Source organism: Homo sapiens, chromosome 22 (genome assembly GCF_000001405.40).
Source record: "Homo sapiens chromosome 22, GRCh38.p14 Primary Assembly".
Taxonomy (NCBI): Eukaryota; Metazoa; Chordata; class Mammalia; order Primates; family Hominidae; genus Homo; species Homo sapiens.
The window spans coordinates 49,755,148-49,778,103 of record NC_000022.11 but is presented as its reverse complement, the minus strand read 5'-3'; the positions used below and the strand labels follow the sequence as shown (position 1 = coordinate 49,778,103).

At 54.7% G+C, this 22,956-nt stretch overlaps 1 protein-coding gene and 1 pseudogene across 29 annotated transcripts in view, besides 4 other annotated features; both read left to right on the top strand.

Moving 5' to 3' along the window:
- Positions 1-4,826, top strand: part of BRD1 (bromodomain containing 1) — a 54,596-nt gene extending 49,770 nt beyond the window's left edge. For 13 of the 29 annotated variants that reach the window (XM_047441274.1, XM_017028722.3, XM_017028716.2 and 10 more), the window contains 5 exons: positions 291-426; positions 943-1,070; positions 1,945-2,054; positions 2,359-2,513; positions 3,688-4,826. In XM_047441274.1, the coding sequence (XP_047297230.1) occupies positions 291-426; positions 943-1,070; positions 1,945-2,054; positions 2,359-2,513; positions 3,688-3,871 (713 nt within the window). In that variant the 3' untranslated portion in view covers positions 3,872-4,826. Of the gene's footprint in view, positions 201-290; positions 427-942; positions 1,071-1,944; positions 2,055-2,358; positions 2,514-3,687 lie in introns of those variants that run through there. The other 16 variants (NR_146334.2, NR_146335.2, NM_001394550.1 and 13 more) reach the window with 6 other exon arrangements.
- Positions 6,429-6,723: a silencer, noted in NCBI's record as "tiled region #11654; K562 Repressive non-DNase unmatched - State 18:Pol2". NCBI's record gives its function as "represses a minimal TATA promoter and a strong SV40 promoter by Sharpr-MPRA in K562 cells {active_cell/tissue: K562}" and the evidence as "EXISTENCE:reporter gene assay evidence [ECO:0000049][PMID:27701403]".
- Positions 13,220-14,002: an enhancer, noted in NCBI's record as "H3K27ac-H3K4me1 hESC enhancer chr22:50157750-50158532 (GRCh37/hg19 assembly coordinates)". NCBI's record gives its function as "activates a minimal SCP1, AML or CMV promoter by ChIP-STARR-seq in naive H9 embryonic stem cells {active_cell/tissue: H9 hESC(naive)}" and the evidence as "EXISTENCE:reporter gene assay evidence [ECO:0000049][PMID:30033119]".
- Positions 14,003-14,786: an enhancer, noted in NCBI's record as "H3K27ac-H3K4me1 hESC enhancer chr22:50156966-50157749 (GRCh37/hg19 assembly coordinates)". NCBI's record gives its function as "activates a minimal SCP1, AML or CMV promoter by ChIP-STARR-seq in naive H9 embryonic stem cells {active_cell/tissue: H9 hESC(naive)}" and the evidence as "EXISTENCE:reporter gene assay evidence [ECO:0000049][PMID:30033119]".
- Positions 17,500-17,799: an enhancer, noted in NCBI's record as "active region_19280". NCBI's record gives its function as "activates an Ori minimal core promoter by ATAC-STARR-seq in GM12878 lymphoblastoid cells {active_cell/tissue: GM12878}" and the evidence as "EXISTENCE:reporter gene assay evidence [ECO:0000049][PMID:35858748]".
- On the top strand, positions 19,055-20,541 carry RPL5P35 (ribosomal protein L5 pseudogene 35; annotated as a pseudogene).

The window sequence follows — 22,956 nt, the reverse complement described above, 5'->3', positions numbered from 1 at the left end:
AGCCTGTCTAAAGACCCGGGCTTGTCAAGAGGAGCATCTTCATGGTGCTCAGCAAACTACTACGATCGGAGCCGACTGCAGTTTGTTAAGTTGATTTCATTTAACGAGTAACTTTGGTGTCTGCTTACTGTAAGGACTATGCTCGGGAACTTGGGAGTGAAAAGGAAGATGCTGTCTTACCTGTCTGTGAAACGTGCTTTGTAAGATGTGTTCCAAGTGTAACGTCGTTGAGTCATGCTTCAGTGTGCCCTGGTTGTGCTGAGCTCAGGGCCTGCCCGCCTGTGTTCCAGGTCTCACCAACGGCTTTGGGGGTGCGAGGAGCGAGCAGGAGCCGGGCGGCGGCCTGGGGAGGAAGGCCACACCCCGACGACGCTGTGCCTCCGAGTCCAGCATCTCCTCCAGCAACAGCCCGCTCTGCGACTCGAGGTGGGCACCGCGGCCCTGCGCTTCCCACCACGCAGCTCCCAGCACCGCCCGCCCCGCCTGGCTGTCCTGGAAGCCGGGACATTCCAGCTCCCATCTTAGTGTTCTCTGAAAAATTCTGGCCTGGGATTCATGTGTGCTCTGCCCTTGTGGACAGTTTCCCATGCTGCATATTAATCTGCTTTATAGAATTCAAGCAGAAGTAGGAAAAACACTGCGTGAAATAGGAACACAATTTTAGAATCTGCAATGAAGTTTTACACTTGATCTTTACCTCCCAGAATCTGGCAATGAGCACAGCCCTGCCTGTCTGCCCTGTGAAGGCCACTTTGGCCTCCTGAGTCCCCCCTGCCACAGGTTCACTCCCTCCAGACCTGCGCACCCACAGGCCCGTCTGGCCGCGGGGGTGTCAGGCAGGATGCGTGGCCAGCTTGGTGGCGGACAGCTCACGGGACGAAGCCCGAGTGAGGCTGAAGGCAGGGGCGGGGCGCCTGACTCCCTCTGCTCTTCCTCCCGAAGCTTTAATGCGCCCAAATGTGGGCGGGGCAAACCGGCTCTTGTGCGACGGCACACGCTGGAGGACCGCAGTGAGCTGATCTCCTGCATCGAGAATGGGAACTACGCCAAGGCGGCCAGGATCGCAGCCGGTGAGTCGCCCGGACCTGCCTCCATGGCTCTCCACACCTCCTGGTTAGCGTCTTAGGGCTCGACTGCTGGGGACTGGACTCCGGCTCAGGGAGCATGGTGCCCTGTGTGGAGCCCCACCCTGGCCAACCTCCCGGGGAAGGGTTCATCACACACCGAGGGGCTCTGGGCTGTGGCCCTGCCGGGGTGCCTGCGGAGGTGGCGCCTCCTCCATCCTGCCTTCGTTTCCCTGTGGAACGTCCAGCTCTGTGTGGCTGCTGGTTGCCAGGCACTGTCAAGGCTGTCTGGGGTTGTTTAGGTTCAGTGGTCATTTGCAGCTGCACAGGGGACTGACTGCAGGGTGGGTGCCCTCAACTTCAGGCCCCTGGGGGAGGGGGAGGCCCCAGGGTTTGGGGTCGCACAGCCCTCACTGTGGAAGGCAGCCATGCTGTGAGGGGGCATCAGGACGGAGATCCCCCAGGTGGGAGGGACAGCAGGGAGCTGGTCTGGCGGAGGGGGAGCCAGGACTTTGGTTTCCCATTTGGGGTGTCAGTTGTGTAAATGAGGCAGGAGCATGCTGGGAGCCCCGTCCTTGCGGCAAGGAGGGCTCAGAAGGGACTGTGCTGGGCACCTGGAGTTGGAGCCTTGTAGCCTGGAGGGCAGGAGCTTCCCTGGGTCCGTGGGAGGCTGGTGGCCCCAGGTGGGCTGCAGGGACAGTGGGGATGCAAGGGCCTGGACCCCACAGGGGAGGCAGTGGTGCTGCCGGGGTGGCTGAGAAAGGCCTGGGAGCTGGGCTGTGCTCGGGGGACCCACCCTGTTGCTGCACCTTTTGTGGGGGGGCGGGGCGTGCCCCGTGTCCTGCTGACGCCTGTGTCCTGCTGACGCCCCTCTCCGCAGAAGTCGGCCAGAGCAGCATGTGGATCTCCACTGATGCCGCCGCCTCGGTGCTGGAGCCTCTGAAGGTGGTGTGGGCCAAGTGCAGCGGCTACCCCTCCTACCCGGCACTGGTGAGTACGGCTCTCGTGGCGCCTGCGGGTCCAGAGGAGGCTCACACAGCTGCGGGGCGGGGGTGGTCCGAGGAGGCTCACGGCGGTGGTCCAAGGAGGTTCCACAGCTGGCGGGGGGGCGGGGTTGGTCAGAGGAGGTTCACACAGCTGGAAGGGGCAGGGGTGGTTCGGCGAGGGGGGCGTGGGGGTGGTCTGAGGAGGCTCACACAGCTGGGGTGGGGAGGCGGGGGGGGGTGCCAGTGACAGGTGGGGTTGTTTATGGGTGTGAGCCTCACAATGACCTCAGCGGGTCCTTCTCGTGCAGATCATCGACCCCAAGATGCCCCGTGTGCCTGGCCACCACAACGGCGTCACCATCCCGGCCCCACCCCTGGACGTGCTGAAGATTGGGGAGCACATGCAGACCAAGTCTGATGAGAAGCTGTTCCTCGTTCTCTTTTTTGATAATAAGAGAAGTTGGTGAGTTGAGAGGCCTTAGACTCCGGGGACCGGCTGGGGTGGTTGGGGGCCGTGGGCTCGGTGACCTGAGTGTCCCTGTGGTGAGCAGCGTCTTTGTCTGCTGGGCCCTGGCACAGCTAAAGTCGGAGGTGAGTGCTCCGCTGTTTGCCTGGTGGAGAAGGGCACTGCCCAGCCCCCTCGCCGGGACTGTGGGACGGGCACTGAGCACCGGGTCTGTCTCTGCCCGATGGCTTCCTCTCCCTCTCGCCTGAGCCCCATTGGTCTGGACTGTCTCTTCCCTACTCCTTACCCATGTGTCCGCTCCAGTGTTGGGGGTCCCTCTGCTGTGCTCCCGGACCCCTGTACTGCAGGACATGGCCCCTGCCCGGGCCTGGCCTCTGGCCCTGTTCTTAGAGCCTTCTGTCCCAGCATCATCCAGCTCTGCTCAGACATCCACCCCATCACAGGAGGCTCCCCCTGTGCCCTGAGCTGCTTTTCCCCAGAGCGTCTGGGACCCTCATGTGCCAGGGTTTAGACCCCAAGATCCCTCTGTGCAGGACACGCTGGCAGCACATGCCTCTGGGAGGAGCTGTGGCCCCGGCTGTGCCCTGCGCACGTGGCCCGGGCAGGTGCTTCCTGGTTCCCCGTGGAGCTGGCTGCACTTGGGACCTGGCGCAGGGGCTCGGGGCCACCTGCCTATGGTGTGCCTGGAGCAGGACTGGCAGCACAGGCATCCCTACCGTCTTTCTCTTCCTTGCCTCGACCTCTGCCTCTTTGGCCACGTGGCCACTGCTTCTTGTCAGGCCTTGAGCGAGGCCCACACCTTGTCCATCCGAGGGCCCCTTTGATGGGGTCTCCCCAACCACCGGCCTCTGCTCCAGGGCCCACCCTGACTCTGGGCTTGGTGTGTGCATGTCTTGTCACTAAGCAGGCACTGGGAAACGTTTTGGAGGTGGAGGAGGAGGTGATGGTTTTTATGCCTTACTTAGCTCCCCGTATCCCCAAGTCGGGGAGGGGAAGGGAGGGGTGCACTCCTGGCCTCGGGCCTGTCCCTGCACGGGGCCCAGCTGTCTTGGTGGTGCTGAGCAGGGCCCCTTTCTATCGGAGGGCAGTGAATTTGTTAGATGATTACATGGAGCCTGCTGAAATACCATGTGCAAGCAATGATTTTCCGCTTGTTTTTCCTTTTAAAAAGGCAGTGGCTTCCTAAGTCCAAAATGGTTCCCCTTGGTATTGACGAAACTATAGACAAGTTAAAGATGATGGAAGGGAGGAATTCCAGCATCCGGAAGGCCGTGCGGATCGCTTTTGACCGCGCCATGAACCACCTGAGCCGCGTCCACGGGGAGCCGACCAGCGACCTCAGTGACATTGACTGACGGCCCGGCCGCCAGCGCGGGTCTTGTCCATAGTGTTGATAAGCTGTACATGTTTGTATATTGTTCAAAACTTAACTTATTCTGATTTTTAGTTATAGCTCTTTAATTCTTTTTCCCCGGGGAGGGGGGAGGTTTTATTTCCAAGTTTTCTAGGAACCCATCTCCGTCTGGGCGCTGTGAGTGGGGTGGGCACGTCCGGGCAGCCCAGTGCGTCTGTCGCACGTCCCCAGGCCGTGCTGCTGGCGTCACTTTCTTTGATATGTAGCTTTTTCTTAAAGACTTTTGAATGTTTAATAATTTTGTAAATCATGCTCTTTACACAGAGTACCACTTATTTAATAAGACGGGATGTAAATTTACAATGACAAATGTGTATTTTAAGAAAGAAAATGACATTATTTTGAATGGTACTTTGTGGAAAGAGGGGAGAATAAAGTTATGCTGTGTACATCACTTGCAGATCACCAAAAACACTCCGCTGCCCGTGACCGCCGGTGGGTGTGTCCCCGCTCCCGTCGTCCCGCCCACCTCAAACCCCGCAGGTGTGCCTCCCAGCGGATTATTTATTGTAGAAAGTGTATTCATTTGCTTTATAATGAAAAATACATTTGCAAAGGTATATTGATATGCATTTTTATACAGGCACATAAAAATTCAACTTGGCTTGGGAGCAGAATGCATTGCATTGTATAAATGACTCTGGCCTGTGTGTACTTTGATTTTATAACTTGTAATCTTTTGTTTACAATGAGGGGCTTTCTGTAACTTGTTTTAATTTAGAACACTTTGGTAGCAATAGAAACTTTGGATACATTTTTGTATGGTACCTGTGATGTATATAGAATTAGTACTTTATTTTTATTTTTAAGAGGTAAAGCATTATGTTGGGGAAAGTAGGGTGGGTTTCCAAATTTGCATTTTTTATATTAAAAATAAAGTCAAGATTTGGACGGTGTGGCCATTTTATTCCTACAGCCCTAGACGGCTAGGTGAGCCCCAAGGACGGGTGGGGTGCTGGCTGCAGGGGGCGGGGACACGCCTTTATCTTGAAAACTGTCATGGGATGGCATTATTTGTTATTTCACCTGATCATATTTTTATTTTAAAACTTCAGTTACATAAAAGTTTTAAATGCTTTTTTTAAGCCTACACCGTTTGTAACATCTCCATAGAAACTTGGAAATCAAGTCTTCCTTAGATAGTTGCTGTCCTGCATCTGGCAGGTGCTTCCTATCTGTCGTGGCTCTCCTTCCCACAGCCAGCCCCGCCCGGCAGGCCCCTCCCCACCACGAGCAGCTGGTGGCCCCCAGGATCACTCACCGCCCACGCAGAAAGGAAGCCCACGCAGAAAGGAAGCGGGTGCAGGAGCCAGGTGGGGACAGGCCGTGGAGCACTCAGGGCTACCACCGAGAAGCCCAGCTAATGGCGGGTGCAGTTTGCACCCCTTCTCTGCCACCCACAGCCTGATCGTGCTGTCGATGAGAGGAATCTGCTCTAAGGGTCTGAGCGGAGGGAGATGCCGAAGCTTTGAGCTTTTTGTTTCTGGCTTAACCTTGGTGGATTTTCACCCTCTGGGCATTACCTCTTGTCCAGGGGAGGGGCTGGGGGAGTGCCTGGAGCTGTAGGGACAGAGGGCTGAGTGGGGGGGACTGCTTGGGCTGACCACATAATATTCTGCTGCGTATTAATTTTTTTTTGAGACAGTCTTTCTCTGTTGCCCAGGCTGGAGTGTAATGGCTTGATAGCTCACTGCCACCTCCGCCTCCTGGGTTCAAGTGATTCTCCTGCTTCAGCTTCCGGAGTAGCTGGGACTGCAGGTGCCCGCCACCATGGCTGGCTAATTTTTGTATTTTTATTAGCAATGGGGTTTTGCTATGTTGCCCAGGCCGGTCCCGAACTCCTGCCCTCAAGTGATACACCTGCCTCGGCCTCCCAAAGTGCTGGGATTAGAGGCTTGAGCCACTGCGCCTGGCCAGCTGCATATTGTTAATTAGACATAAAATGCAAAATAAGATGATATAAACACAAAGGTGTGAAATAAGATGGACACCTGCTGAGCGCGCCTGTCCTGAAGCATCGCCCCTCTGCAAAAGCAGGGGTCAGCATGTGTTCTCCGGTCCTTGCTCTTACAGAGGAGTGAGCTGCCTATGCGTCTTCCAGCCACTTCCTGGGCTGCTCAGAGGCCTCTCACGGGTGTTCTGGGTTGCTGCCACTTGCAGGGGTGCTGAGGCGGGGCTCCTCCCGTGCGGGGCATGTCCAGGCCGCCCTCTCTGAAGGCTTGGCAGGTACAGGTGGGAGTGGGGGTCTCTGGGCTGCTGTGGGGACTGGGCAGGCTCCTGGAAGACCTCCCTGTGTTTGGGCTGAAAGCGCAGCCCGAGGGGAGGTCCCCAGGGAGGCCGCTGTCGGGGGTGGGGGCTTGGAGGAGGGAGGGGCCGAGGAGCCGGCGACACTCCGTGACGGCCCAGGAACGTCCCTAAACAAGGCGCCGCGTTCTCGATGGGGTGGGGTCCGCTTTCTTTTCTCAAAAGCTGCAGTTACTCCATGCTCGGAGGACTGGCGTCCGCGCCCTGTTCCAATGCTGCCCCGGGGCCCTGGCCTTGGGGAATCGGGGCCTTGGACTGGACCCTGGGGGCTTCGCGGAGCCGGGCCTGGCGGGGCGAGCGGAGCAGAGGCTGGGCAGCCCCGGGGAAGCGCTCGCCAAAGCCGGGCGCTGCTCCCAGAGCGCGAGGTGCAGAACCAGAGGCTGGTCCCGCGGCGCTAACGAGAGAAGAGGAAGCGCGCTGTGTAGAGGGCGCCCACCCCGTGGGGCGAACCCCCTTCCTCAACTCCATGGACGGGGCTCATGGGTTCCCAGCGGCTCAGACGCGGATCCTGGCCTCGCCCGCCGTCCAGGTCGTGCGCTCTCCAGGGTTCTGTCTCCCAGGGCGCGCCCTCGCCGCGGTCCTCCTTACTCCAGGGCGGTGCGCTCGGCTTGAGCGTGGGGAGGGTGGGCGTGTTGGTTCGGGGAGTTGGTGCGTCTTGGCTTTTCAGAACCAGGAGGGAGCAAGAGGTTCCCTACCTTTTCCCCCAAAACCAGAGCCTTTGACATCTCCCTGAGCCCACGGGGCTGGTGCCCACCTCATGAGCAGATCCGTTCTGGCCCAAGGCCACCGGGACCGGAGCCGGCTGGGGATGGGGAGGTGTCCACACCACCCGCACCCCACTGACTTCCCCGCAGCCTCCCTACCTTGCTAGGACCCCGGGCCCTCCCAGCCCCCGGAGGAGCGCCTCGGCGTCGGCAGCTGAGACCCAGAGCACTCAGGGCAGGAAGCCGCCAGGGTTTCATGTTTGGGAACCAAGTTCACAGTGTGGCCTCCTGTTCTGACTGACACCACTCCGCCCTGTCTTGGCTGAAAAACCTGTGGCAGTTGGGTTAAAAAGAATGAGGAGGAACTTAGTACGCCGATGTGAAAAGGTCTTCAAAATAGAGTGCAGAGCAATCCAATTTCCCTCGGTTCCAGGCTGTGCCCTAGCGAAGCCCACCCACTGTGGGGGCGCCCACTGAGTCATGCTCACCTCCCTGGGTTGACTGGCTGGTGGGGGGTCTGGAGTCTACACGATGACTGGCTGGTGGGGTTCAGGCAGGGGGTTCAGGCAGGGGGCTCCGTATCCAGCGTGGGATCCTAGCTTCCCGCTCAGGTGTGTCCAGCTGGCCTCGTCCCCTGCACCCACTCCTCCTGGGTGCAGCTGCCCACCCAGCTGTGCAGGGTTGTTGCATGGAGTCCGGCTCGTCCTTCCCTAAAACCAGCACTGTTTGCTTGTGAAATTGGCTCAAAGTTGAGCTGCTCCTTCCTAGCTTGGGGCGTGAGCAGTTTGGGAAAGCCGATCTGTCTTTCCCATTTCTGAGGCTGTGGTGGGCCTTGTATGCAGGAGGACGGGCTGCTCGGAGAGGCTGGGATGATTCCAAAGTGTCCGTCAGTGTGTAATGCTGTGGACATTTTTGGGGGGTCCTCCTGGATAGTGTCGGAGTCCATTTTTCCGGGTCTCAAGCCCCTGCCAAGCTGCCGCCGAGCCCTGGGCTGGCCCCCGGACCACTCCTGTCCCTGGCCGGTTCTGTCACCGGCCGGGGAGTCCCTCTGGTTTGGGGAGGTTATTCCTGCCTGACTTCAGGGGAGGAGGAAACAGTCATGTGTCTGGCAGTGCGGGCAAGAAAGGGAGGGCAGAAACGTGAGGCTTAGGGAGCTGGGGGTTCAGCCAGGTGGGGAGAGCCCCTTAGTCACACGGGGAGAGGACAGGGGCTGCAGGGAGAATGCAGTGAGGAGCTGAGCCCCAGGTCCCCTTCGCTGTGGGTGGGCCCTGCCTTGGGCCACATGGGGGTGGCAGGAACCAGGGGCAGCAGGTAGGGAGTGAAGACCCTCAGTCAGACCCCCAGGAGGTCCAGCCCAAATCTGTGTTGCTCACTCCATCCCCTAGAGACCCACTCGGGCTCCAAATCCTTTGGGCCCAGGCTCTGAGCACCCAGGTTGTGCTTGGACTGCGAGCACAGGGGGTGGGAGGCCCTGCAGCCCCTTCCTACAGATGCGCCCCTCCCCTGAGGCTCTCTCAGGGTGGGGGTCCCCTCGGGTCTCGTCCCTGACCCCCCGGCCTGTCCCCATGCCCGGTCAGTGCTACCTCTGAGCCTCCTCTGTGCGCCATCACCATCTCCATCCCCACAGAGCCTCGGTCCAGCCCTGCGGTCTTGTGGACAGTGACCCCTGGCCTCACAGGCCCTGTCCTCTGGGTGCCCACTGCACTGAAGAAGTTGCTGGGGAGGAGCGAGGGGTGAGGGGCCCCACCTGATGGCCGAGCGCTCACCCCCAGGCTGGGCCGTGGCACTGAGTCCTGTGAGCATCTGGAGGAAGGGAGGTCGGTGGAGTACCACGGTGGCCCTCAGGGGCCTCCTCCCCCCTCCCCCAGTGCTCCCCCTTCTGAGGGATGGCTCTGAGAGGGACTCAGAGTGTCTTCCTGTCTACCTGGAGATGAGAGCCGGTCAGGCGGTGTCTGTGGCCGGAGCTGGAGGCTGTCAGAGTGTCTTCCTGTCCACCTGGAGATGACAGCCGGTCAGGCGGTGTCTGTGGCCAGAGCTGGAGGCTGTCATCCTGTTCCCTCTGCTGGGCTCACTTCAGGGCAGCAAGGCTTGGCTGGGCCGAAGGCCAGGCGCCGGGCAGCACAGCTGTTCCATCTCTGTGAGCTTCGAGGGCCTGTGGATGCCGGGGAGTGGGGGCTGGGAGCAATGTGCAAAGGCTGGAGGATCCCAAAAATGACCCCCACACCACAAGTAGGAGAGAAGGCCTCTGCTAGTTTACAAAAATCACATTGTTCTCATGGAAAGCAGAAGATTACGGCCAAATTCTATGCATATTTCAGTATAATGAGTGTCCAAAGTGAAGTGCCCAGAGGTCCCCCTGCCCCCCCACTCTCGGGACCTAGCCAAAGTCCCCCCTCCAGGGGGCATGGTGGGGTGCGTACTCCACTGTGTGAGTGGGGGCTTCTGGGAGCCCTGGGGCTGGGGCAGCCAGACTCAGCGACGCAGTAAGAAGCCTGGACTCCCTGGAGGGGGCCTGCACGTGAGCTTGGCCCTTGACCAGGCCGGCAACGGCTCTGCGGAGCTAGGACCCCTCCTGCGTGGATATTTCATGACATTAGCATTCACTTACAATGTCTGCTCACTGACTCTTAGTGCAGCTCTACCTCATCTCATTACAGTTTCTCCCGTTGCAAATGAAGCACATCTCTTGTTGATCTCTCGCCCCAGAGTTTTAACATCAGCTCAGCTGTGGGGACTCCCAGTCTGAAGCACCAAGACCCTCTACTTCCTCCCTGCCTCCTCTGACTCCCCACCCCATCCTGTCCTACAGGTGAGGACAGCCAGGTTCTGGGGCTCAGCAACCGGCCTCCCATGGCGCCCCCACGGGCGAGCCAGGTGGGGGGTGGGGAGTAGAGCCCAGGGTGGGTTAGCCAACCCCCACCTTGGAGGATCAATATGTGGCAAATGCACCCACACGTGGCGCCTGCTGGTTTATGGAGTTCACTTGTTATTATCACCTATAATTAAAAGCAAATGAAAAAAGAATTGAGGAGATGGCTAGTTCCAAGATGGCAGCATAGAAGCAAGCTGGCTTCACTCTTTGCCACAGAAAATCCAAAACAAATATTCAGCACCAAGATTATCTCCAGCAACATCCCAGAACTCAAATACGAGGATGAGACAGTCCCCAGGGCCACAGAGAAGTGAATAAACTCTGAGCAAGCAGTAAGAGAACTGGAATTCTATATCTATGATGTCCCTTCCCCCAGTCTACCTGCACCAAGTGTGGGCAAATCTCCCCTGACTCATGGCTTCTGCACTGGAAAAATGAGATCAAGGTGGACTACCAGCTTCCCAGTATCTTGGGCTCCCTGGCAGGAGACTTGTTCTGCTTCAACCCAAGGGAAGCATTCAGAATGCTTAAAGGAGAAATATCCCTGAGGCCAGCCAGAGACAAAGGGAAGAGGTGGGACTAGCATCTCCAGCTCTAAAAACTGCCCTGTAATGCAGCCAAAGGAGGCACCAAGTCAGGCTGTTCAGCTACATGGTAGGAGGCACAGTCCATAGGTTCCCTGGGCATGGACCGCCAGCCAGTCTTCCCACACTGCCGGGCTATCCCCTGTGGGACCTTCCCCATTTGGGACGGGAAGCCCCACTCTGATCCTTTATTGGAGCTGAGGAAAACCTGGACTTATGTTGCCCTCTAGTGCCGAAGAAGGAGGCAGCAACCTAGCAGAAAAAAAATTCAACAGGTACATGGCAAAGAGTCTCTAAGCAAACATACCCAGTAAAAACCAAAACAAGCCAGACAGAGAAGACTGGAATAAATAACTAATCCTTCAATGCAAAGACGCAGATGTGCATTCACAAGAAACAAGCAAACGGGGAACTGTGAACCACTCAAAGGGACAAAGCAAGGAACCAGTGACTAATGAGATGGCCACATGTGAGCCTCTGATCAAGAATCCAAAATAGCAGTTGTAGGGAAACTCAGCGATCTCCAAGATAACCCAGAAAATCAATTCAGAAACTTATCAGAGAATTTTAACAAAGATATTGAAATTAAAAAATCAAACAGAAATATTGGAAGTGAGAAAAACATCTGCTGAACTGGAAAATTGATAGAGGCTCTTAACAGCAGAATGGGTCAAGCAGAGGAAGGAATCAATGAGCTCAAAGACAGGCTATTGGAAAAGACACAGTCAGGGCCGGGCACGGTGGCTCATGCCTGTAATCCCAGCAGTTTGGGAGGCCGAGGTGGGTGGATCACGAGGTCAGGAGTTCAAGACCAGCCTGGCCAACATAATGAAACTCCATCTATATTAAAAATACAAAAATTAGCTGGGTGTGGTGGTGTGTGTCTGTGGTCCTGGCTATTTGGGAGGCTAAGTGGGGAGGAGCACCTGAGCCCAGGAGGTCGAGGCTGCAGGTAGCCACGATTGTACCGCTGCACTCCAGCCTGTGTGACAGAGCAAGTCCCTGTCTCTTTGTATCTATCTATCTATCTACATAGATAGATAGATAAAGAGATACACTTTACATATATAAAGATAGAAAGACTTCAAGTAAACAACCTAACAGTGCACCTCGAAGAAACTGAAAAGCAAGAATGAGCCAAACCCCAAATTAATAGAAGGAAGGAAATAATAAAGATCAGAATAGAACTAAACAAAATAGAGACTAGAAAACAATACAAAGAATCAACAAAACAAAAGGTTAGTTTTTTGAAAAGATAAACAAAATTGACCAATCTTTAATTAGACTAAAAAAAAAAAATGCATGACCTTGTAGAGGTCGGGGCCACCTGCCCACACCTGCCCGAGGAGGCTGTGCCAGCCTCCCACTCTGGCTCCTGGGGGATGCGCGGCACTCTTGCTTTGACGTCCGTTTGGCCACAGGGCTGGTCAGCGGGGCTGGAAGGCACCTGTCCAGCAGCCCGGTTGGTTTGGTTCCCGTGCCCGCTATGGACTCAGGTCCAGCTCTCTCCTGAGGGCCTGGGGTCCCCATGCACCCTGCCCTGGGTGTGCTGCTGTGGGGGTGGCTGCAGGCCCCAGGCCCACTGGGCTCCTCCCCATCCCGCTCCCATCTGACTTGGCTGACCCGGGTGGCCATTTCCTCCCAACCCTGCCTCAGGTGCAGCTGCTACAGGCCCACCTGCAGTGGGGCGGCCTCCCTCCCCACAGGGGCCACCAGCCCGGGCTCAGGTGCAGCTGCTACAGGCCCACCTGCAGTGGGGCGGCCACACTCCCCACAGGAGCCGCCAGCCCTGCCTCAGGTGCAGCTGCTACAGGCCCACCTGCAGTGGGGCGGCCTCCCTCCCCACAGGGGCTGCCAGCCCTGCCTCAGGTGCAGCTGCTACAGGCCCACCTGCAGTGGGGCGGCCTCCCTCCCCACAGGGGCTGCCAGCCCTGCCTCAGGTGCAGCTGCTACAGGCCCACCTGCAGTGGGGCGGCCTCACTCCCCGCAGGGGCTGTAAGGGAAGCCCCTGGGCGGGGCACTGTCCTTTTCTGTTTGCAGATACTGGAGGTTGGAAACGGGCCTGGGGACAGGAGGGTCAGGGCAGGCCAGGGCCAAGGGCTCGGATGATGCAGTCAGGCTGTGAGGCTGAGCCAGGGGCTCGTGGGGAGCTGGCTTCCCGGGCTTCTCCCCACCCTGGCACGAGTAGCTGGAGCCAGAACGAGGTGAGTGGTGGCTGACGGATGCTGCTGGGCCATGATAGCAGGGTCCTGGTAATTCTTGGCCCTGCGTGGGAAACACTGACATGGATAACGTGGAACCTGCACCAGGCCTGTGTCTGGCACCCGCGGTGGGGAGGTGGGGGCTTTGGGGTTCATTGCCAGGGAGGGTGACAGCAGCTGGAGAGTCGTTGTGGCCCCCAGCCCTGCAGCCCCCCAGCTCCTGCCTCTGAGAACCCAGGCATGGCCAGGAGGCAAGGTCAGAGTGGCCGAGGTGGTCCTCTCTGTCTTCCTCCCTCTCCTCCTCCTTCACTCATCCTGCAAGTGTCCTGAGCCCCAGCAGTGCCCCAGTGACTCCCGCCTGGTGGCCTGTCCCCACCTGGGTGGGGGCCTGCCAGGTAGACACAGGTCTGAGGCTGCCAGCTGGAGGCGGCTTCTCCCAGCCCCTCCATTCAGCAGGAAAAGCCAACAGTTGGGTTTGGTGTCAACCCAGGGACTGAATTTCTGGCAGGTAAGCCATTGGTTTCATGAATAAATAAGCATCATAAGAATCGGCATTCATGTCTCTACATATATATATATATATATATATATATATTTTTTTTTTTTTTTTTTTTTTTTTGAGGCGGAGTCTCGCTCCGTCGCCCAGGCTGGAGTGCAGTGGTGTGATCTTGGCTCACTGCAACCTCCGCCTCCCGGGTTCACGCCATTCTCCTGCCTCAGCCTCCCGAGTAGCTGGGACTACAGGCGCCCCCACCACGCCTGGCTAATTTTTTGGTATTTTTAGTAGAGACGGGGTTTCACCGTGTTAGCCAGGATGGTCTCGATCTCCTGACCTCGTGACCCGCCCGCCTCGGCCTCCCAAAGTGCTGGGATTACAGGCGTGAGCCACCGCGCCCGGCCATCTCTGCTTATATTTTTAATCCATGGAGAGCATTTACTCGACAACTACGTTGTAGCGAGGACGTGAGTTTAGTGAGCAAGTGCGGCTTGGCATCTGCACGTCTGCCTTGGCATCTGCACGTCTGCCTGCTCTGGCGGGGCTGTGGTGGGTGACCCGGGAGCTGGGCGGAGCTGGTGAAGGCAGAAGGCAGAGCCCGTCTCCACCCACTGCCTGGGCTGACGGCTCCTCCCAGGGCTCCCTCGGGCACCACCCATGGAGCAGCTCCGGCATCCGGCCTGTGACCCCCGAAGCTCGGCCTTCCTCGAGCTTTCCGTCGGGTTCTGTGGAGCAGCAGGTCCCCTGGGGGTTACAAATGCTTCCACACCCGGTGTGAGCAGTGGCTTCCTGCGCAGAAATCACACCATGGGACCTGTTGGCTGCGGCCTATTACAGCGGCTGTCCTTAGAGGAAGAGTAAATTCATTTTGATTTATAGATAGCAGATGCTTCAACTTTCTTCCCTGCCTCGCGTTCAGGGTTCAGCAGCTCTCTGCTGCCTGTGTGAATATTAATCAGTGCCCCGGACTCTGGGAGCCGGGTTCCTTGGGTGGGGTGCCCAGGCTGGGGGCTGGTGGGGATGCCAGCAGGCCCCGGGGCTGGAGACTGCGGCCGGCTGCCCCCACGTTGCTCACAGCCCTGCACGGAGAGCCCCTTGCATACCTGGGAGATGCCCAGCCCTCAGGCCCAGGGGTGCGCACGGCAGCGCTCACTGAGAAGTGGATCCCGGAAGAGGCCTGCAAGGGTCCTTGGGGTGTTGGGGTCCAGGTGCTTTGACCTTCCTCTGGCAAAGGTGATGCTCAGCCCAGAGAGGAGCAGGCCTGGGGCCCCGGCTGGGGAGAGGGGGCAGCTTGTGGGGTGCGGCAGAAGAAGCCAGGCCCCAGGGCTGCACAGAGAGGCTGGGGCTGAGCCAATGGACCCCACAGACTCTGCCCACTTTAGCAAGGCCCAGGCCCTCCTCGCTGACCAGGTCTGTGTCCTTCCAGCCTTACTGAGATATCATTGGCACGAGAAAATTCACCCATCTAAGGCACACAATTCACTGGTTTTTAGTACATTCTCAGAGCTGTGTAACCATCATCACAGTCAATTTTGGAATCTTTCAATCACCTCCAAAGGACACCCGTTCCCATCAGCAGTCCCTCCTCCTTCCTCTTCCCCCAGCCCCTGGCAACACTGATTGGCTTTGAGTGTGTGGAGCTGCCCGTTCTGGACATTTCCTGTGAGTGGAATCATACCGTACCGGTCCTCTTGTACCTGACTTCCCACACCTGGTGCAATGGTTTACAGCGCGTTGGCTGTATCAGGTGTCAGAGCTTCACGTCTCCCCGTGGCTGAACGACACTGCGTTGCATGGGGCTTCCACAGTTTGCTTGTCCATTCATCAGCGTACGAGCACTTGGGCTGTTTATACTTTGGGGATTGTGAATAGCGCTGCTGTGAAGATTTATGTACAAGTCTGTTTTTTCCCCACACTGTTTAATTTTTTTATTCACCTGTATAGCTTGGCACTTTCACGTTATCACAGATAGAGTGACCTCACTGTTTTTATTTTTTTATTTTTAGAATTAAATTAATTATTATTATTTTTGAGACAGAGTCTTATTCTGTTGCCCAGGCTGGAGTGCAATGGCGCGATCTCAGTTCACTGCAACCTCTGCCTCCTGGGTGCAAGTGATTCCTCTGCCTCAGCCTCCCAAGTAGCTGGGATTACAGGCGCCCACCACCACACCCGGGTAATTATTGCATTTTAATAGGGACGGGGTTTCACTGTGTTGGCCAGGCTGGTCTCGAATCCCTGACATCAAGTGATCCACCTGCCTTGGCCTTCCAAAGTGCTGGGATTACAGGTGTGAGCCACCACGCCCAGCCACCTCACTGTTTTTAAATGTGGCATGGTTTTCCATTGCTTGGACATAACCTAGTCTGTTTAGCCAAGCTCTTTCTGATGGACATTTGGGTTAGTTCCCATCTGAAGTTGTCATAAACAGTGTTACCATAAATAAACTCTATATTCTGGAGGGCAGAATATAAAGTCTACTCCCTGACAAGAAAGAATAAAAACATTTTTAAAAGGCCTAGCTAGTTTTTCTTAACTAGATTGTAAGATAGACTTATTCAACCTGAAGGTGTGGGCTGATGTCACTTCACACTTGAAACCAAGGGGAGCTTCAGGGCCCAGACAAGCTTAGACTACCAGCCATTCAGAATCTACATTTTAAAAGAAAATTGAAGTGATAAAGCTGTGGTTAAACGTGAAATTGAGTTTATAAAATTTGGGCAGTTACTGAGATCTCCTTAAAGATTTGACTGGAAAGTGTAGACAATGTTTGGATCCCTATTTGATCCAATATATGAGATGACTGGGGAAATTTGACCATTGACAAGATATTCGATGACAGGAACGATTGTTTAATAAAAATGTTAGGTTTGCTAGCGATATCATGGTTATCTTTATTTAGAATCCTTTTATTTTAGAGATACATGCTAAAATATGGGAGGGTAACATCATACGCAGTCTGGGGCTGGCTGTTGAATCATTCACCTGGGAGAACAAAATTGTGTGTGGGTGTGTACAAATGTGAGGGGGTGTGGGTACAGATGATTTTTTTTTTTTTTGAGATGGAATTTTGCTCTTGTTGCCCAGGCTGGAGTGCGGTGGCGCAATCTCGGCTCACTGCAACCTCCATCTCCTGGGTTCAAGCAATGCTCCTACCTCAGCCTCCCAAGTAGCTGGGATTACAGGCATGTGCCACCATAACCTAATTTTGTATTTTTAGTAGAGATGGGGTTTCACCATGTTGGCCAGGCTGTTCTTGAACTCCTGACCTCAGGTGATCCGCCTGCCTTGGCCTCCTAAAGTGCTGGGATTATGGGCGTGAGCCACCGCGCCCGGCCCAGGTGATTTTTTTTTAAATTTTAAAGTTTTAAATATATTTAGGGGATACAAGTGCAGGTTTCTTACATGTATACATGACATAGTGCTGAAGTCAGAGCTTTTAGTGTACCCATCACCAGAACAGTGAACACTGTACCCAATAGGTAATATTTCAACCCTCACCTAAACCACATCCTGGGCCCACTGCTCCCACTACTAGCTTCTAAGCAAGCCACCTGGAGGCCCAAGAATCAGCCCCAGGACCCACCAACGCTGCAGCCAGTGTAAGCTGCTCTAGAGCCTAAAAATAAGCACATTCACCCCATCGCTACCAACGGGGCAGCTGCTGTGGTTTGGGTGATGGCGGCAGTGGTGGTGAAGCAACCCACTGGGATCCAAACAGTCTGTGTTCTTGTTGCTGGAAGCTGCGATGGGTTGGGTAGGGGAAGTCCCCAGTCCTGCAGCTGCCCATAGCAGGGCAGTGGGTCTTGTCTTGAGTATGTGTAGGAGAGCCTAGCTTCCCCGTCCTTCCTTGACTGGGCAGCAGCTGCAGCCATGTCAAGTCAAACTTGGCCTGAGGGCAGGGCACAGCTTTGCGTTAAACTCTAAAATTGGTGCCTCGGGCCTGAGACCAGGGAGGGCGGGGCTCCTCCCAGGCAAACAGCATGGGCAGGACGCTGCAGGAAGTGTGGTCTGGTTGGATCTCAGTCTCACGGCAACCTATTGCAGGGCAGTGGGTCTTGTCCTAGACATACATAAGGTAGCCTAGTTTCCCTGTCTTTTCTTGGTTGAGTAACAGCTGCAGTGGTTTCAGCCCAAGCTCAGGCCGAGGTCAGGGTGCAGTTCAGTGCTCAACTCTCCAATTGGTGCCTTGGGCCTGAGACCAGAGTGGGTGGGGTTTCTCCTAGGCAAGCAGCTTGGGTAAGAAGTTGTGTGGAGTGTGGTCTGCTCATGCATCGGTCCCAACAGCAGACCACAGCAAGGTGACAGGGCACCTCCCAGGAGTGTGTGGTAGTGCCCAGTCTCCCCTGTCTCCTTGGAGCAGTGCAGTGGCTACAGCCATGTTGTTAGATCCCTGGTAGTGAGGCTCTCAAAACGGCCTCAGCTGAGGCTGCTCCAGGTTTCAATGCCTGTGAGGTTCTTTGTGGGTTCCCTTTTCTGGAGTGACGTCTCTGTGTAATGTTCAGGCAGCTCCATATGTCGGGCCCGAGGCATGTTTAGGCATGTCCAGGAGACTCCCACCTGGAGGCTGTCAGTTCCTGGCTGGGCAAGCTGCCGTGAGCCCTCTCCTTACTTCCTTCTGGTGCTTCCTGTCTCATCTCTGGTGAATCCTAGCATTCTCTCTGGGATGGTCTGTTCAAAATGTGCACATCTATTTACTATTTTGTTCCTCTCCATGGAAGAGGTACATACTATCTGTGCCTGTCAGCCATCATGATCTCTCCATGGAGGAGGTACATACTATCTGTGCCTGTCAGCCATCATTATCTCTCTGCATATATGTTTTTTTAGATGTATGTTTTTATTTCCCTTGGGCATATGCCTAGGAGTGAATTGCATGGTTATACATTAACTCTCTGTTTAACATTTTTATTTTTTGAGACAGAGTCTCATTTTGTTACCCAGGCTGGGGTGCAGCGATGCAATCTCAGCTCACTGCAACCTCTACCTCCTGGGTTCAAATGATTCTCCTGCCTCAGCCTCCGGAGTAGCTGGGATTACAGGCGTGCACTACCACACCAGGCTAATTTTTGTATTTATAGTAGAGATGGGGTTTCACCATGTTGGCCAGGCTGTTCTCAAACTCTTGACCTCTGGTGATCTGCCAGTCTTGGCCTCCCAAAGTGCTGGGATTACAGGTGTGAGCCACTGTGCCCAGCCCTGTTTAACATTTTAAGGAGCCGCTGGATTGATTTCCAAAGCAATTGCATCATTTTACTTTCCCACCAGCAGTTTACGAGGTTCCAATTTCCCCACATCGCCACCAACACTTGCAATTTTCTATTTTTTCCTGTGTCTTTTGAGATGATCATGTGGTTTGTCCCTTTATTCTATTAATGTATTGCATTAATTGGTTTTTGGATGTTAAGCCAAGCTTGCATTCCTGGGATAAATTCTTTTTTGGTTTTAGGATATAATCCTTTTTATACATTGCTGAATTCTGTATTTTGTTAAGGATATTTGTATCTGTATTCAGAAGGGATATTCTTTCTTGTGATATCTTTGGTTTTGGTTTCAGGGTAATACTGGCCTCAGAATTAGTTGGGAAGCATGTTACTCCAGTTTGCACTGCCATAAAGAATTACTTGAGGCTGGGTAATTTATAATGAAGAGAGGTTTGTTTGGTTTATGGTTCTGCAGGCTATACAGGAAGCATAATGCTGGTATCTGCTTCTGGTGAAGGCCTCAGGAATAATGAGTGAATTCTCCTCACTCATTTCTGCAAGCCATTCTTGAGGCATCCAGCCCTGTGACCCAAATGCCTCCCACTAGGCCTACCTCCAGCATTGGAGATCTCATTTCAACATGAGATTTGGAGGGGACAAGACATCCAAACCATATCTAGAAGTCTTACCTTCTCTTCCGTTATGTTGAAAAAATGTTTGAAGGATTAGCGTTTCTTATTTAAATGCTTGGTAAAGCCCTTCCCTGCCCTGCGCTGCTGGGCCCGTAGGTCTCTGTTGAGCCACAGACGTGGGTCTCTGTTCCATAGGATGGGGTTTGTTAAAATTAAGAATAAGGCCTGCTTTAAGAGATACCAAGTGAAATTTAGACGATGAGGCGAGGGTAAAACTGATCACTATGCTCAGAAACATTTGGTGATACAGGATAAAAATAAACACCACATATCCAAATACAGGATGATAGTTTGTGTAACAAACAGAGATATCATTTGTTAGATTGCTTATGCCCGTATAGAGGGGGATATGATAGTCTGTGTAGCATATGCACACGAACTGCCAAAATATAGTGTGAAGGTTGGCCTGACAAATGACACTGCAGTGTATTGTCCTGGCCTGCTGCTGGCCCGCAGGCTTCTCAATAGGTTTGGCCTGGACAAGATCTAAGAAGGCCAAGTGGAGGTGACTGGCGATGAATACAGTGTGGAGAGCATAGATGGTCAGCTGGGTGCCTTTGTCTACTCTTTGGATGCAGAGCTTGCCAGAACTGCCGCTGGCAATAAAGTTTTTGGTGCCCTAAAGGGAGCTGTGGATGGAGGCTGGTCTGTCCCTCACGGTACCAAACAATTCCCTGGTCATGATTCTGAAAGCAAAGAATTTAATGCAGAAGTACACTGGAAGCACATCATAGGCCAGAATGTTGCAGATTACATGCGTTACTTAATGGAGGAAGATGAAGATGCTTACAAGAAACTCTCTCAATACATAAAGAACAGGGTAGGCCAGGCGCAGGGGCTCACATCTGTAATCTCAGCACTTATGGAGGTCGGGGTAGGGCAATCACTTGAGGTCAGGAGTTCACAATCAGCTGGTCAACATGGTAAAACCTCGTCTCTACTAAAAATACAAATATTAGCTGGATGTGGTGGTGGGTGCCTGTGATCCCAGCTACTTGGGAGGCTGAGGCAGGAGAATCACTTGAACCTGGGAGGTAGAGGTTGCAGTGAGCTGAGATCGCGCCACTGCACTCCAGCCTGAATGACAGAGTGAGACTCCACCAAAAAAAAAAAAGCTTAACTCCAGACATGATGGAGGAGATGTATAAGACAGCTCATGCTGTGGCCGGGCTTGGTGGCTCATGCCTGTAATCCCAGCAGCTCGAGAGGCTGAGGCAGGAGAATCGCTTGAACCTGGGAGGTGGAGGTTGCAGTGAGCCAAGATTGCGCCACGGCACTCCAGCCTGGGTGACAGAGCGAGACTCCATCTCAAAAAAAAAAAAAAAAAAAAAAGAAAGCTCATGCTGCTATACAAGATAATCCAGTCTATGAAAAGAAGCCTAAGAAACAAGTTAAAAAGAAGAGGTGAAAACGTCCCTTGCTCAGAAGAAAGACTGGGTAGTTCAAAAGAAGGCAAGCTTCCTCAGAGCTCAGGAGCAGGCTGCTGAAAGCTAAACCAAACAATTTCTATGAGGATTTTCCAGATAAAGACAATAAGCTTGTTGACAGCAACTAAAAAAAGAGTGTGGTAGAATTCACAAGTGAAGTCGTCCGTCCTTGTGCTTTTCAGTGTGGAAATTTCAAAAATTACTATTTCAATCTGTTTACTTGTTGAGTAAGTCTTTGTAGTTTCCTTCAGTAATTTGTCCATTTAATCGGTTATGTAATTTGTTGGCATAAAATTGTTCATAGCATTCTCTTATCATCCTTTTTATTTCTGTCGGATCTGTAGTGATATCCCATCTTTCATTTTTGATTTTGATAATTTTTTTTTTTTGAGACAGGGTCTTGCTCTGTCACCCAGGCTGGAGTGCATTGGTGCAGTCATAGCTCACTGTAGCCTTAACCTGCAGCCTGGCCCTGAGAAAAGGCCAGCAGGGCAGGAGGGTCACCCAGACAGGTGGACGGGCTGCTGTGCTGGCCTGGTCAGTCGTGCATCTGAAGGGATTTAAGCTGAGGCCATGACATGGCTGGAGGTGAGTTGTAGAAGAGGCCAGCCCAAAGCACTGGCATCCGCACCAAAGCCCCTGTGGACACTGATGTCTGAAATTGGAACTGACTACAGTGGTCAACAGATGCTCTGGGACCCCTACCATAGCCTGGGGGACACACCAGGGACTGGGGCTTCAGCAACAGGAAGAGACCTTCAACCACGGGCTTGTGGTTCATGGGGACTCGGACAGAAGCACACAGTCACTGTGGGGTGAAGGTGGAGGGACACAGCAGGGGCTGGAGAGGGCGGGGCTGTCATTGTGTGGGCATCAGGGCAGGCAACTCTGAGGAGGGGGGCACTGTGCAGGGTCCCCATCATTCACCTGCAGGAAGAGGGGCAGAGCTGGCAGGATTCCAGCCACATGCTGGGCGAGCACGCGTGGGAGGACCTGCTCTGCTGCTACCATCTTGATTTTCTTTATTTTTGCTTTTATTTCCTTAGAGACAAGGTTTTGCTGTGTTGCCCAGGCTGGTCTGTAACTCCTGGGCTCGAGAGAATCCTTCTGCCTCAGCCTCCCAAAGTGGTGGGATTACAGGTATGAACCATGGTGCCTGCATGGGGCCCACAGGTCTGGAGCTGTGCTTTGCTGGGGGCCCCTGTGGGGGACGTGGGAGTCAGGACCCTCCAGCTGTAACAGGAAGGGGCCGGGGGCTGGGGTCATGGCTGGACAGCCCAGTGGAGGTGAAAGTCAAAAGCTGTGGGGAGGGGAGTTAGGACAGCCAGGCCGAGACTCAGAATTCTCTGGAAAGAGGGAAGGTCCCGTGAGTGGGTGGTGTCTGGGTTCTGGGCACTGCACTTGGAGGGGGAACAAGGAAGGGGCAGTGAAGTGGCAGAGGGAGGGCCCCCTGTTACTGGACAGGCAAGACCCCAAACTAGGGCTTAGCCTGGGAGGGTTCTTGGCTTCCCCAAGGGGAATTCAAGGGTGAGCTAGTGGCGTTGGACAGCAGTCTTTCATTGAACGGTACTGCTTCTTGAGGACAGGGCTAACTCCTAGGCAGTGCACCCACAGCCAACAGTGTATGGGTGCTTGGCAGCTATACTTATACCCATGAGAACCCACTTTCAATTACATGCAAATTAAGGATGGGCCAATGCAAATTGAGGGGCAAGTCATTTTAGAATTTTCTAGGAAAAGGGCAGTAGCCTCTGGGTCATTGCCATGAAAAGGGGTGGCACCTTATGGGTTGTTGCCATGGAAAGGGGTGGCACCATATGGGGCGTTGCCATGGAAAGGGGTGGCACCATATGGGTCATTGCCATGGAAAGGGATGGCACCGTATGGGGCGTTGCCATGTAAAGGGGTGGCACCGTATGGGGCGTTGCCATGGAAAGGGGTGGCACCGTATGGGGCGTTGCCATGGAAAGGGGTGGCACCTTATGGGTCGTTGCCATGGAAAGGGGTGGCACCTTATGGGGCGTTGCCATGGAAAGGGGTGGCACCTTATGGGGCGTTGCCATGGAAAGGGGTGGCACCTTATGGGGCATTGGTAAACTGTCATGGCACTGGTGGGCATGTCTGATGCCAATGAGCAGTGAGGGCAGCCAGGGATCTGCCTCTCATCGTCTGCTGGTTTCTGCTGGTTTTTTCACTTCATCCTGCCTGGACCAGGTCCTGGTTGGGTCAGTGGGGCTGGGACCAGAAAACTAGTCCTGCCAGTCTCTTACCTCACCTGAATGCCAAGGGGAGAAGCTTCTAGAAGGAGGAGGGTCGGTGGGGGGCAGGAGCTGGGCTGGAAAGGGGCTGCAGCGGGGGTGGGGCAGGTTGGGTGAAGGCGGTCGGGGTTGCTGTGTGGGGGACAGGGCATGGGAGGGGGCTTCCCGCGGAGGGCCTGCTGTGGAGGGAAGCAGGAGGGTCTGCTCTGGGAGCAAATGTGAGGCGGCCCCACTCCCGTGTCCGCTCCAGGGACCCTGTCCTCCCAGGGATGGGGAGGTGAGGC